The 15,209-nt window shown below is 40.8% G+C and overlaps 1 long non-coding RNA gene across 5 annotated transcripts in view; it reads left to right on the plus strand.

Moving 5' to 3' along the window:
• The window catches only part of LOC105374928 (uncharacterized), a 106,762-nt gene that overhangs the window by 53,976 nt on the left and 37,577 nt on the right, over positions 1-15,209 (plus strand). For 4 of the 5 annotated variants that reach the window (NR_187827.1, NR_187825.1, NR_187826.1 and 1 more), the window contains one exon: positions 9,616-9,983. The exons of the other annotated variant lie outside the window; for it this stretch is intronic. This is a non-coding gene — a long non-coding RNA (uncharacterized LOC105374928). Of the gene's footprint in view, positions 1-9,615; positions 9,984-15,209 lie in introns of those variants that run through there. 5 annotated transcript variants of the gene reach the window in all.

Below are 15,209 nucleotides of genomic sequence, written 5' to 3' on the forward strand. Positions count from 1 at the left end.
CATAGACCTGACTGGGAGGGGGGAAATTTTAATGTTACAACCGAAGAACCACAGGAAGGGATATCCCAACTCTATTCCCATGGACTCGTGATTTCCCCAAGAGGCAAACACAGCAGATCACTTCGTCCATCATCTTCTTTGGTCTTTTAAAGAGCACAGCTTTTCCGGGACATGGACAGAAACCCCAGAGACAATTGAACTCATTGAGAAGCTGATTCCTTGTGCTGGGGACCAGGCTAACCCTGAATAAAGGAAGTCTTGCTCTCACTGTAGACTCTTTGCAACCTGTTTAAATCAAAGGAATTAATCCACACTGCAGCACACAGCTTATTTGTGATCATTAAGTGAAGTAGTGAAGAGGGGAACAAATGTTGTATACTCAGAGACACAGCCAATGTCATCCCCATGTGAGACGTGCTTGCTGGCTTGTGTGTTAAAGAGTGACTGGACTCCCATTCCTGTATGTTGAGGTTTCTCTAAACTCCAGTTCTGCCTTCCCAGTCAACAGAGGCTAAAGATACTAGGGAACATTATATGTTTTGTTCCTCTCTGTACATAGTTTTTCAGGTACCCAGGTTTTGCAACTTCACTACCTCTTCTTTGCTATTGTTAGGAATAAATACTATGGAGGTGGTGAGGGGACAAAAGAGCATACTGAAAAGGGCATGAGACAGGAGAGAGGATGGCAGATCCAAAACTCGGGGTGGGGAAAGAGCTTACCTGAATGATTTAAGACCCAGAAAAAGATGAGAACAGATACCCTGGGTGAATGTATCAGAGACCAGAGGCTGGTGAACCACTTCCAGAAAACCTGTGCCTCAGGCCTGAATGAAGCAGAATTCCTGAAGTCAGCCAAAGGAAGACCAGTCTGATGGTTCACAGAGGTGACCCAAGGAGGCAGCTGGCACAGAGGCCAGGTAGGAAGTGCCGCAATAGTGGCTGGCCCCTGGCAGTGCAGGAGAATCACCTGGAGCTTTGGGAGAATGCCAAGGTCTGGAGAAACACATATCTGTTATGAAGTTCATAAACAGGCAGAAGTAAATAATATATGTTTTAGATATACATACATTTGCATATAGATATAATAAAAGCATTTTCAAAACAAAGATGTAAAAATTCAGGGTCACGTTTACCTCTGGTGTAGGTAAATGAATGCATTAGTTGAGGATCACATGGATAATGAACTAATTATGATGTCCTGGCTCTTAAAGCAGGTGGCAAGTTCACGGGTATTTGTTATATTATTAAAATTGGACTACATGAAAGATGCACCCATGCAGTGGTGATGCATGTGCCATGAATCAAGATTCAAACTTTTCCAGTTCTAAGCACCTGAGATGCGATTTAGAAATGTACTAATGCTGCTATTTAAAAATTAGGACGGCTACTATTAGGCCATCTTAATTTGGATGGCTACTATTAAAAACATTAGAAAATAAGTGTTGGCGAGGATGTAGAGAAGATAGAACCCTCATGCACTCTTGGTGGGAATGTAAAATGGTGCATGCAGCCAGTGTGGAAAATAGCGTGTGGTTCCTCAAAAAATTAAACATTGAATTACCAGATGCTCTAGCAATACCATTTCTGGATATATATCTAAAATAATCACCACATACAGTGGCTCATGCCTATAATCTCAGCATTTTGGGATCTGGGAGCCCTCCCTTGGCTAGGGGCTATTTTCTAGGGTGTGAAAGAATGTGATACATGTGCTCTGTCCACTTCCCTGTCCCGTGGCACAGGGACAATCAGAAAGTCCCCTCTGCTGGGAGAAGGTCACGGTCCAAGATGACAGGTAAACCCAAGGTCAGAAGCCCAGGGCTCTTGAGGATGCCAACTGGCTCCACCGTATCGGGTGATTTCTCACATTCCTGGGGCCAAGTCTCCTGTTTTGTAACAGTTCAGTCAAGGATTTTACTGGAGTAGACAAGCATGAAATGAATTTTCCAGAGACGTTTCCGAAGTGGGGGAAAGTTCATGGCTCCAAGGCACCGGTGGATAATGAAACAAAACTGCGAGCTTCTGTTTTTCTTTAGAAAGAGGGCTTCCCAGTTTTTAAAATCTGGATTTCTAAAACTTGAGCTGTATTTTCAACTCTCAGCTCAGCTTTGCCCTCTCACCCTGGTGTTGCAAGTGGATTCTGCGCTGCTTCTGAATTACCCAGGTGGGCTGCCCGGGTTCTGCAAAGCACTGCAATATCGCTCAGAGCAGGTGCTCTTCAGACCTCTGGTTGCGATTACTCTCAGCGCAGGGTCACCACCACCCAGAGGGACACACTTGGAGCAAACTTAGTGAAGGGCGCTTGCCTTAATCAGCTGGTAATCGCCCATTATCAGTCTTTATTAGACTGTTGTTTATTTTAAGGAACTCGTCTTTGATTTATGTAAAACCAAATACTTAGTTTCAAAATGAAAACTAAAAAAAACCTGGCCATCCTTTTTCACTTTTGGCATTACCTACCCCGCACTTGTCTTTGATATACATATGTACAGAAACCAATTTTGGGCTCCCAGACCTAGGAGAAATAAGGAAAATAAAAAACAAAAATCAGTTTTATAAAACATGCTAATAAAAATACTTCGATTCATACTCATCCACCACTCACTGAATCTGCCGGTTCTGAACCTCGCTTCCACTGTTTGACCTTGAGTAACTTATTTAATAAATCAGTGAGACTCAGTTACCTCTAAATTGGAATAATAATACCTATTTGGAGGGGACTATTATAAGAATTAAGTAAAATACCATATACTGCCTCTTGGAATCACTCCTTTATCTCTATTAAAATTATTACCATCAGAATGCAGATCTCCAGTTTACTACACTTTACACCCTAGTTGCAGATGTGGTATCAAGGACTGACTCCAAGCTTATGTCCTTGCAACTAGCCTGACACTGACAAACGTTTCCCTTCCTGAAACACCAGCCCCTTGATACCACCCTTGCTTGAGGTTTCCAGTAGCTTCTTACTGCCTGTCCATACCAGCTGCAGCTCAAAACCCACCATAGCTTCATCCCGTTCCACTTCTATGACTATACTAAATGTTGCCTGTTTCCATCGGAGTGCCCTTTTAAACCCTTTTTCCTGGAGGTAGGAAAGTCTAACTTAGTTTTTCTAACTGCTTTTTGTTTTGTACATGTCTCTATCTTCCCACTCTTTCCTCACCACCCACTTCTTTCTCTCTAGCAAAATCCGTGTGCATCCAATAGGATTTACCTGCAGACCAGCCCCTCCCAGAAAATAGTCCCAACGTCGCCAGTCCACTCTGATCTTAGCCCCTCACTGAGCTCCGGCTGTCCCTGTAATCCTGACCGTGCTTTCACGCTTTTCATGGCTGAAGAGTCCTGCAAAATATGGAAACCCAGAGAAAAATGGTTAACAAACACTGACTATGATTTTCCTGATTGCACAGCTCAAGAGATTGAGTTCAACCACTTAAACTAGCTCAGATGTGGCACCTCTTAATCAAACCCTGTCTTTCTTTAGCCCTTTCTTTTCTCTTTTTCTTCCAATAAAAGAGTACTTAACATTGGATCTTTTATCTTGATCAGCAAAGTTTTATATTTAACTTTTTTCCCCCAAGACGTTTTAGAGGTACTTTATTTTTTTCTATTTTCTAGAGTGTGAAACATGGTATCTTAAAATTTACCTTAAAATTTATCAACATATTTTGTTTTGGATTTTCACAACATACTTATTTTAGATCCTTTGCTTTCACTTTAAAAAATAAAACAATGTCAACACTTCATACTGAAACAAGAGGGCATATTACAGAAAATGTCTTCTATTTCTCCTCTGTAATTGATTTCTAAAATTACTTTGTTACTAAATGTGCTATCTTAAGCTGACTACCAGCTTTTGCAGGCATTTCCTGGAATCAGAATGTTGGAATGCCAAGAGTTGTATGTTTGAAGCAACACACCTGTTAGTTGCAACTTTGTTTTATTCTTTCTTTAGAATTATATACAAAAGATATTATAAAGATACAATGTTCCACAAAGCACAGATGATTTAGTATCTATTTGTAATATGAGCTCATAGCATTACATCAGTGTTTTATAGATACAATGTCATATCCCAAGGCATTGTAGCAATACATTCCATATCACCATCTTTATTTTGTAATTCTTGAGAATAAGAAGAGTTAGCGTCACATAATCTTGGGATTAATGAATTTGAAATAATCACATATGTGAATTTTGTAGCATTTCTAGAATTCCAACAATTGAAAATTATATTTAAGCAACAGCTTTCATAGTTATGACTATGTTTATATTCAGATAAAATAAAATTCACAAAAGAGACAAAAAATAGAAAATATTTGGTGAAGTTTGCTAGTGGAAATCTGATTGGTCTCATAACTTAATCTTTAATTATTTGCTGTCATTAAGGGATATACTACTTAAAACTCAGACTTAAAAGCAAAGATCTCTCTCTAACCTGTTAAAATCCTATGTCCTCTTTGAACACATGTTTAAGGTGAAAATGAAACATGTTATTCCCTCTAATAGAGGGATACTTTGCCAACAAGTAGATTGTCAGGCAATCGAGGAAAAACAAATGGCTTGAGTAATCTAAAAACTGATTGATCCATTCAACAAATGTTTATTGAATGCCTAGTGCGGACAGACATTGTTCTAGGCAGCAGCGATGCAGGGATGAACAAGACCAAGCAAGTCCTTGCTGTTATGGGGCTCACATTCTTGCGGGGGATGGACAAGAATAAATGAGAAAATAAGCCTATAATTATGGTAAGAGCTTTAATGGGAATGAACCAGGCATGGTGATGAGAGGAGGCACTTGCTCTGAAAGAGTCATCAGAGAAGTTTGCTCCAAGGAGCTACCGTGACATCTAAACTAAGATCTGACAAATGAGAAGGGCCCAACTTTATGCAAAGGGGAAAGAATATGCAAGCACCCTGAAGTGGAAGGCACATTGGAGGAGCAAAAAGACAGTCAAAACGGCTGGGATACAGGGAGAGGGGGAGCGAATGGTACAAGGTGAAATGGAGTTTCATAGGGTCTCAGTCAACTAGAGTATTGTATATTGGAGGAAAGCTGTCCATTGTATTTTAAGTGCTTTTAGAAAGGAAATACCTGGATGCTTTCAAGCATAGAAATGACAAGATCTGATTTATATTTTATAAACACCTCTCTGGCTGCTGCGTGGGAATGGATTGTGGAGGGAAAAGTAGAAGCAGAAGGACATGCAGAGACAATTGTGGTCATCCAAGGAAGTGATGGCAGTGGTTGAAATCAGTGTGACAGCAGTGGAGATGGATGAGGCAGATGGATTTGAAATATGCTTTGAAGACAGAGCCACCAGACCCACTGATGGATTAGAAAGGAAAAATCAAGTATTGAGTTCCTGGGTGGGTAGTTGATTCTGTTATCTGAGATTGAAAGGACTAGGGGAGGAACAGGTTAGAAGGTAGGAGAGAATTACTTCATATTTGAGACACCAGTTAAAGAACCTAATGGAGATATTGAGTTGGGTATCTGAGTCTGGAGCCCAGGAGAGAGGTCAGGGATGAAAAGGAGTCTGGGAGTCCCTGGCATATTGACCTCTCAAGTCTTAGGACCAGACTGTTTCACTAGAGAGACAATGTAGGCAGAGAGGCTGGCCTAGAACTATGTCCTGGGAGTACTCCAACATATTAGAGGTTCAGCTGAAGAGGAGACTCCAGCAGAGAAAACATAAGAAACTTCCAGAGAGGCATGAGGAAAACCAGATGAATACAAATGAAAAGAAGCAAGAGGTTTCCATAAAGGAGGTGATCAGCTGTGCGGAGAGATACTGAAGGGGTTGGTAAGAGGAGGGCTTGGAGAGGGCAATTGGATTTGACAATGTGGCAGTTCTTTGGGATGTGGACAAGAATATTTTAAAAAGAGTTCTGGGGACCAAAAGCCCATCGCAGTAGGTAAGGAAGTGGATCCAGAGACCATGAGTGACTTTGTTGAGAATTTTGCTAGAAAAGGGAGTAGAGAAATGAGGCAGCAGTTAGAAGAAGATGTAGGGTCAAAGGAGGGATTTGGTTTGTTTGTATGTTCTGTTTAAAGATGAGAGACAGTGAAGCATATGAGCATGCTGAAAAGAATGACCTAGTGGGGCTGATGATACAGGAAGGTGTGTAATTAACAGAAGTGGAGCCAGCCGTCAATAACAGAGTTGATTACACTACCCAAATGAGAGCAGGAGTTCTCAAACGCAGGAAACATCCAAGCCTGACACTTGTATTCTAAGACACATCTTTTGACTTTTGTAATAAAAATATAAAATCTGAATCAAAGTGCTACAATTTATCTTCTAAAATTTCTAAAATCACATAGCAGTGATATAAAGAAGAATCTTTAATTCTCATATTCAGAGCTTCATAGATACCATATCTGTTTCTCCTACTTATTTGTAGTAGCTCATAAGCAAGAAGAGATGAGATCTAAAAGTTGCTAATGCTTTTTCAAAGTGTAATCCAAAATACAAGAGGATGCCATTCCCTATACTTAGACCCTCACTCACCTTGGGAAATGTCTGAAAATAAAATAATTTTTTTTTCCTTGAATGAAATGGCTCTAAGTTTAGAGACTGATTAAATATAAACTCAGCTGAGGAAACAAAAAACACACACACACACACAAAAGAAAAAAATCAACAAAATGTATTATATTTTTAGAAAAATTACAGAACAACTTCTGACAAATTAATAGTGTATTTTTAAAATCATTATTTCACTACACGAAGAGAGAAACTTGGATCTGGGAAGATCCCATTGAGCCATCAGGAAAACGTATAAAAGAAAATGTGGCCAACAAGCATATGAAAAAAGCCTCAATATCACCGATCATTAGAGAAATGCAAATCAAAACCCCAATGAGATACCCTCTTATACCAGTCAGAATGGCTATTACTAAAAAGTCAAAAAATAGATGCTGGCGAGGTTGCAGAGAAAAGGGAACACTTTTGGTTGGAGTGTAAATTAATTCAATCCTTGTGGAAATCAGTATGGCAATTCCTCAAAGAGCTAAAAGCAAAACTACCATTTGATCCAGAAATCCTATTACTGGGTATACAGCCAGAGGAATATAAATCATTCTACCATAAAGACACATGCAGGCAAATGTTCTCTGCAGCAGCATTCACAATGGCAAAGACATGGAATCTACCTGAATGCCCATGAATGACAGATTGGATAAAGAAAATGTGGTACATATACACCATGGATTACTATACAGCCATAAAAAAGAGTGAGATCGTGTCTTTTGTGGGAACATGGATGGAGCTGGAGGCCGTTATCCTCAGCAAACTAATGTAGGAACGAAAAACTAGATGCTGCATGTTCTTACTTATAAATGGGAACTAAATGACAAGAACTTATGAACACAAAGAAGGAAGCAACAGACGCTGGGGCCTACTGAGGGTGGAGGGTGGGAGGAGGGAGAGCAGCACAGAAGATAACTAGTGGGTACTGGGATTAATTCCTGGGTGATGAAATAATCTGTACAACAACCCCCCGTGATACAAGTTTACTTGTGTAACAAACCTTCTCATGTATCCCTGAACCTAAAATAAAAGTTAAAAAAAAACAGGAAAGTGCATTGTACAACATCTAAAGAAGGCACAGAAAATCGCACATTTTTGCTACAGTTCGGGTACAGTGAATATTAAATGTGGCATTTTCTTAAAGCATAACTATGATGTTAAAATGAATTCCAGGATTAGACACTACTACAGAAAATGGTAAGTAGTCAGACTGTTATATTTTCTGTCCTATCTCTGGTCTCCCTCCAACGTTCCACCACAACCATCAGAATGTCACTGTTCTCAATCTTAAGATCTGAACTCAAACTTTCTAACAAGGCATTTGTCTCCATGAGCTTCCCAAAGACCGATGCATAAGATGATGGGAACTAGATAGATACAGAGTTTAAAGACAGCTTCAAACTTCTAATCTTGGGCAAATAACTTCACTTTGGTGGCTAGTAAATAAAGGGGTTAATTAGATAACCTCTGAGTTCTTATTCACTTTTAAAAATTTATCATTCTACAGTGCATTAGTGGTGGTGACCTTGTAGATGTCGAGATCATGATTTAAAAGGAACTGTTGAATTCCATGTTAATGCATCATTGCACTTAATTAGGAGGTTTTATACATTTCAAATGAAAGGTTGAGATGAATGTGTTATTTCAACTGAAAAATTCAATAACACCCAGGTAGAAAAGGAGGCAAATTCTAAGGTCCACAAATAAGTGATTTATAAACTCAAAAACACATTAACACCAACTTTAATAGAAAATAAGTTCATTCCTTCCCCCTTAGCTTTTGTTCACTTATCTTTGCTTTTTGTATGCAGATAGAAACCGCTCAAAAAATAAATAAATAAATAAATAAAAGGAACTAAGGAGGATGGTGTGGAAATGGAAGAAAGGAGTGAGTGAAGGAAAAAGAACACTTTTTCTTAACAGGAAGACAGAGTATGTTAGCTACCCCAACAAGTTTAAAATCCCCCAAATTAGAGTCATGTTTTTAGCAAGCTACACTCTTTGTAAAGATGATTAATAAATATTCCACATGTGGTTACCTGAGATGAAACTGTTATTAATTCATTTCAAGGGCATTAAGCGCTTGCCTGGACCACCACAGATTAAGAAGCAGTAGCCAGGCCGTGGGAACCTGTGGGGAGAGGCATCTGTATGAAATGCTTTTTCATGTTGACAGCCTGAAACTTCTTAGGTTTTAAGGTCATTTAAGCATTATTGCTCCTTCCCCTTTGCTTCTAAAAGCTTATCTTTCTCAGATGTCAGGAGAACATTCTAGAAACATCAGCAAATATGACACCTAAGAAACTAGCTTCACAACTTGTTATTTTGCTGGATATATGATATTCCAGTGACTATGGCTATGTAATAGTTACTCCAAAACCTGGTAGCATAAAGCAACCACTTATTAAGTCCATGGATTCTGTGGACAGGAATGTATACAGAACACAAAGCAGACATCTTATCTCTGCTTCCTAATGTCGAGGGGCTCAGCTGGAATAATCTGAAGGCTCCTTCATGTCTTTGTTGGGAGCCTGACACTGGCTGATGGCCAAGAAGGTAGTTGGATTTGGGTCACATACCCATGTGTGGCCTCTACTTGTGCCTGAGCTCCAAAGGTGAGTGCGTTGGGAGAGAGATAGGGAGAGACAGAGAAAAAGAGGAGTGGGGAGAACAGAGGGAAATGGGCAGGGAGAAGGAGTGGGAGGAAAAGGGAGACAGAAAAACGAGGCAGAAACCATATCAGCTTTTATGACCTTGCCTTGCAAGTTCCCTAGCTTTCTTTCCAGGACATTCTGTCGATTAGCAGCTAGTCACTAAACCCTGCCCATATTCAAGAGGGGGGATTTAAACTCCCACTTCTCAATGGAGGAGTGCCAGCCTCACATTATAAACAGAGCATGTGGGATGGGATATGCTTTTCTGTGGCAATCGTTGGGAAATAACAATCTGTCAAAAGTGGATAACTTCATCTTTAAGCAAGTTTATTGGCCTGTCCCAAGTTGCATCTAGACCTTATTCCTAGTATCCGCCATCTGCCTGGAGTAGGAAAGGACATCTTGTTGTTTCTGTTTCTCAGGAAAGACAGGACAGATTCTTATGACCTGAAACAGCACCTCAACTCTTACCTTGGATATTTCTACATGAAGAATCTGCTCTGAAACTATAGCAAACAATCACAGAGTGTTTGAGTGTGAGTCCAGACTGGTTCGGGAAGACCAAGAAGCAATGATGATGTCTGTTTTTGTCAAATGTCTGAAAACTATTTTTATTTTTCTAAAACTTTGTTCAGAAGTCTCAATATTGTAGTGTATAGAGATGTACACTAATTTAGTGATATGAAGATGAAGGGCTTTAAGCCTGTGTTCCTTGCAGGCATCTCAGTACCTAGGAACTCCAAAGAACAAACTGTTGCTCGTGCAAAATTAAATTTCATAAAACAGCAAAGAATGGTGCCAGAGTTTAATTAATAGGATAAGGTTATGAGTCAGACTGTGTACCCCAAAAAAGATATGTTGAACTCCTAAGCCCCTGAACCACAGAATGGGATCCTATTCAGAAATAGGCACAGTGTCCGGGCACCATGGCTCACACTGGTAATCCCAGCACTCTGGGAGGCTGAGGTGGGTGCATCACCTGAGGTCAGGAGTTTGAGACCAGCCTGGCCAACATGGTGAAACCCCATCTCTACTAAAAATACAAACAGAACAGTTAGCCAGGTGTGGTGGTGGGCACCTGTAATCCCAGCTACTTGGGAGGCTGAGACAGGAGAATGGCTTGAACCCAGGAGGTGGAGGTTGCAGTGAGCCGAGATCGTGCCATTGCACTTCAGCCTGGGCCACAAGAGTGAAACTCCATCTCAAAAATAAGTAAATAAATAAATACATACGTAGGCACAGTGCAGTTGTTGTTAGTTAGAATTAGGTCACACTGGATTAGGGTGAGTCCTTAATCCAACAGGTCTGGTGTCCTTACAAATAGACAAATACACAGAAGGAACATGGCCACATGGAGATACAGACACACCAAAACATCATATTGAGATGTGGGCAAAGATTGGAGAGACACTTCTCCAAGTCAAGGAACATCTGGGACTACCCAGAAACTGTAAGAGGCAGAGAAAGGTCCTTCCCTGTAGGCTTTAGAGGAACATGGCCCTGCCAACATCTTGATCTTGGATTTCCAGCCTCCAGCATGTGAGACAAGTTTCTGGGTTTTTTTGGAGACAGAGTCTCACTCTTGTCACCCAGGCTGGAGTGCAGTGGCATGAACTTGGCTCACTGCAACCTCCTCCCAGGATCAAGGTATTGTCCTGCCTCAGCCTCCCGAGTAGCTGGGATGACAGGGGCCCGCCACCACGCCAGCTCATTTTTGTATTTTTTACTAGAGAAGGGGTTTCACCATGTTGGCCAGGCTGGTCTTGAACTCCTGACCTCAAGTGATCCACCCGCCTTGGCCTCCCAAAGTGCTAGGATTACAGGTGTGAGCCACTGCGCCTGGCAAGTTTCTGTTGCCTTAAGCCACTCTTTCTGTGGTAATTTGTTATCATGGCCCTAAGAAATGACTAGAGAGAGAAAGCAAATCCCTTTGTTTCTGCATTTACTGAAACAGATGAATAGATTTCTAGCTCCCTTGGGGTCTGAACTTTTAAAAGAGAGATTTCTTATACATATGATAATCATGATATTGTCATTTAATGTTTGGCTTCCTACATCAGTGACAGCCTTATGTTTCCTCCTACCATTTCATGAAATATTGCTTGTCCCAGGCACCATATTTGCATTTGAGGAACCTATATCATTGCTTTTTTCCTTTATGAAATCTTCCCTAATCTTTCCAACAGGAAGTAGGCCCTCTAATCCCTAAACTTCCTCAGCACCATATCTGTACCCGATGTGGTGATTTCCTTGTCCTCAAATGTCTCTGGTTATTTATAGAAGTGACATCTTCCCTACTGGATAAACCACTGGAGGGAAGGGTTGAGGTTTTTAGGTCTTCGTACAGTATTTCCCACTGCACTTAAGATAGGCTTTGTGTTTAGTAAGTGCTGCATAAATATTTAAAAATTGGCTGAGAAGTTTTATGAGAGTTTATGCGATGAAGGTGTCCCAGAGCAAAACTTACAAGTATGTTTGGATTGGAAGATTATGATCCAGCTCTTCACTACCGGTCACCGCTTGCTGGACTCAGTGGGCACTGCAGACGCTGTATGCTATGTGAACAGGGCCCCGTAGAGCTTTGTAATGAAGCATCCCCTTTTACTACCTAGACCTTTCATAACCACAGGGTTACATCCCTCACTACACACCATTAAAGGATGTGGCCCACAGAAAAAAGCCCACCAGAATGATTAAAAGCATGGCTTTGTGCCAGATATCTTGGATTCTGTGTTGCCCCACTCAGACCTCCCTCCATAAGAACCTACTAAGAGACCGAGACCCCAAATGCTGCTTTGCCCCTCACCAGAGCATTCATGGCAACCCAAACTTCTAGGCTGCTCCCAGCCAAGAAGTGAACAATGTGAAGGTTCTAAACTAGACCATTCTTGCTTGATGCAAGTTTCCACCATTCACCGGATTCTCCATCCATGGGCCCGGTCAAGACGTTCTCAGATCTGTGAAGTCATCTGAGACTCTTCCTACCCAGTCTTTTCTTCCCTCTCTCCTTTCACAGATTTCACACCTGAATCTCAGTCTGAAGCCTTCTTCAGCCCCCTCCTCCTGTTTCTGCTCCCTTTATCCTCCATGGGTGTGGCTCCCAATAAAGCTCATGCACCTCTCATCTCGTCTTGGTGTTTCCTTCTCAGAGGACACAGGTTCAAATCCTGGCTCTTTTATTTGTAACCTCAATGTGTGACGTTGGGCAAATAATTAAACTCTTTTCGGCCTCAGTATCCTTATTTGCAAAAGTAGGGAAAGAATGGCATCTACTTCACATGGCTGTGGCAAGGACTAACTTGTGTGTAAGGCACATAGAAAGTACCCATGTGGTGAGCACACAGTGCTTGTGATCACGAATGCTTCAGTGTCCGGCCTGAAAAGGCATTTGATCCATGTGTGATGAATGTTAGAAGTAAACACTGTCATTACTGCAATTCTCCGTGCAAAGTATTCTTGACTCTGTGTTATATGGATGACATTAATTCTCCACTCCCCTTGATAGATATCGCTATATCTTCACCTTTAGATTGACCTGCAGAATAGCATTCTGAAGCTATTCCAGGATAATTTCCCAAGTTTCTAAGCATTCCATTATTTTTTAAAGGAAGATATTATATTAATTAAAAATCAGGCTGGGCACGGTGGCTCATGCCTGTAATCCCAGGACTTTGGAAGGCCGAGGCTGGAGGATCACCTGAGGTTGGGAGTTCAAGACCAGCCTGTCCAACATGGAGAAACCCCGTCTGTACTAAAAATACAAAATTAGCCGGGCGGGGTGGCTCATGCCTGTAATCCCAGCTACTCGGAAGGCTGAGGAGGGAGAATCGCTTGAACCCGGGAGGCGGAGGTTGTGGTGAGCCAAGATTGTGCCATTGCACTCCAGCCTGGATAACAAGAGTGAAACTCCATCTCAAAAAAAAAGAAGTCAAATTCCTTGCTTATGCTTATTTTCACTTGTTCTTATTTCCCTACCCTTTGTGAAAAAGAATTGCTTTTGTCCTGTTTATGACAGTAAGAAAAAATACGTCTCTACTCATTCTCCCTCTCTCTAGACTAAACATTCCCAGTTCTCCTAATGCTTTCTTTTTGATCTTCATTTCCAAACTATTTATCACTTGCTCTCTTTTCCTGAATGCTCTCCAGCGTTCCAAGAAGTTGAGCCATGCATTGAAGAAAGTTCTCCAAAAGTAGCTTGAGTGATTGCAGATAGAAGCAACAGGAACTCTGCCTGTCTTTCCCTTAAGGCCTGTGATTAATAAAACCTGAGGAAGGTAGTTTCTTGGTTTAATTGATAGCTTCACTTTATTGGGGCAGAAACCCATAGATTAATAAGAAATTAGGTGGAGGGGGACTGTTTTCCTGTCTTGGTATAGTGGTATAAAAGAAATTCAGTAATGAAGAATACCTATTTCTAGCTGGAAAAAAGTGCACTCATTGATTATTATTAAATAGCTAATTTGAAAAGCTTGTATTATTTAACTCATGTATCACTTGCTGATAATTTTATAACTGAGAAAATTTTTCAGGGGCTATAACTTAAATTAAAACATGCTCTAAAGTTGTGTTTCAAAAGAAAAAGAAAAGAGAACCCACCAATTAAAGGCAGTATTTTGTTCTATAATGCATCCTTCCTGGCAGTGAAACTATTTTATTGTTCCAACGTAAAAGCCTTGGTTAGAATGTTTTGCTTTGGATCCTGTTTTTAAGTGAGCACTACCTTTGTGTTACTCATTCTTATGATTCTCATTTACTAAGAGTGAATATGAAGCACAATTTATGGCCACCAGAGCTCTGATCTATAGTGTTCACGAGCATAATAACCACAGATAATTTGTGCAGACTGGATTGGTGGTCTCCGTTGCATGTATTGGTATCTGTGACAGGCAGAATCTAGGTCACAAGCTACCAGACTCACAGCACAATGCCTGGCATTGTGTCAATTACATGAATCCATGGAAACGAAGAGGAGAAGCTTGAATTTCACCCATAGCATCATGGGGAAAATGATGAGTTTTTTGACAGAGGCCGAAATAGTGTCTGGCCATTTTCTCCTTCCTTTGGGACATCAGGATGATCCAGAGATACTTCCCAACAAACTAAGCTCAGTTAGCCATGCTTCATTCAAACTCAAAGGCTTGGCCTTATCTCTAAATAAAATACATGGAAGACAACCACTCAGGGGGGTGGAAATCAGAGATTTAGGACACCCTGGGATACAACAACAACAACAGTATAGCGGGGGACAGGAAGGCCCCAAGACAATGAGGCTTTAAGTTTCCCTAAAACTAAAAGAGCTGTGCTTTTGAAAGCTTGTCATCTGAAACGAACAGAGGATTGACAGAGAAAATTAGTTTGACATTCTGAGGACACAGTGTTGAAAAAAAAAAAAAAAAACTAAGAAAAATTTGCTGCAAAAAAACAACAGAAACCAAATCTAAAATAAAATGTAATTGTAAATACTTAAACGCACATCCCCTCATAAATTTCCCAGCGGCCCTGGATTTCTCTCATGAAAGCAGGTGCTGGAAGAGAATCAACAGATCAGAGATACAAACACCAAAGGAAAGAATAAGACCTTCTTGGTTAAGTTTAGGTCCATTCGTCCAACTTGGCTTCACATAGTTAAAATTCATACTGAAGTCACTTTGGAATGTTTGCAACCAGTCATTTGCCCCAGCTAGGAACAAAGCTAGGGGTGAGCATAAGAATGCAAAACAAGCAGAAGTCATTAAGAAGAAGGTAGCCCAAGAGTCTCAGGCTTTTATATGAAGCTGTGGGATCAGGGAGTCATTTTCCCATCCATTCTTTTCTCATGATTAACTAAGATAATGTCCCTGTGTCTTTGCTCTCTCTATCATCCTCTCTCCTTTCTGGAAAACCGCATCCTTTGTCAGGGGTATGGTAAGTGGGAAGGCCTCTAGGCTGAGATTGGAGACCCTTGAGGCTTGCACTTAGTGCTAATACATGCAGTGTGATTCTGAACTCACATTCTTCAAGAGTGAAGTGAAAAGTT

This window comes from Homo sapiens, chromosome 6 (assembly GCF_000001405.40).
Source record: "Homo sapiens chromosome 6, GRCh38.p14 Primary Assembly".
In the NCBI taxonomy this organism is placed as follows: Eukaryota; Metazoa; Chordata; class Mammalia; order Primates; family Hominidae; genus Homo; species Homo sapiens.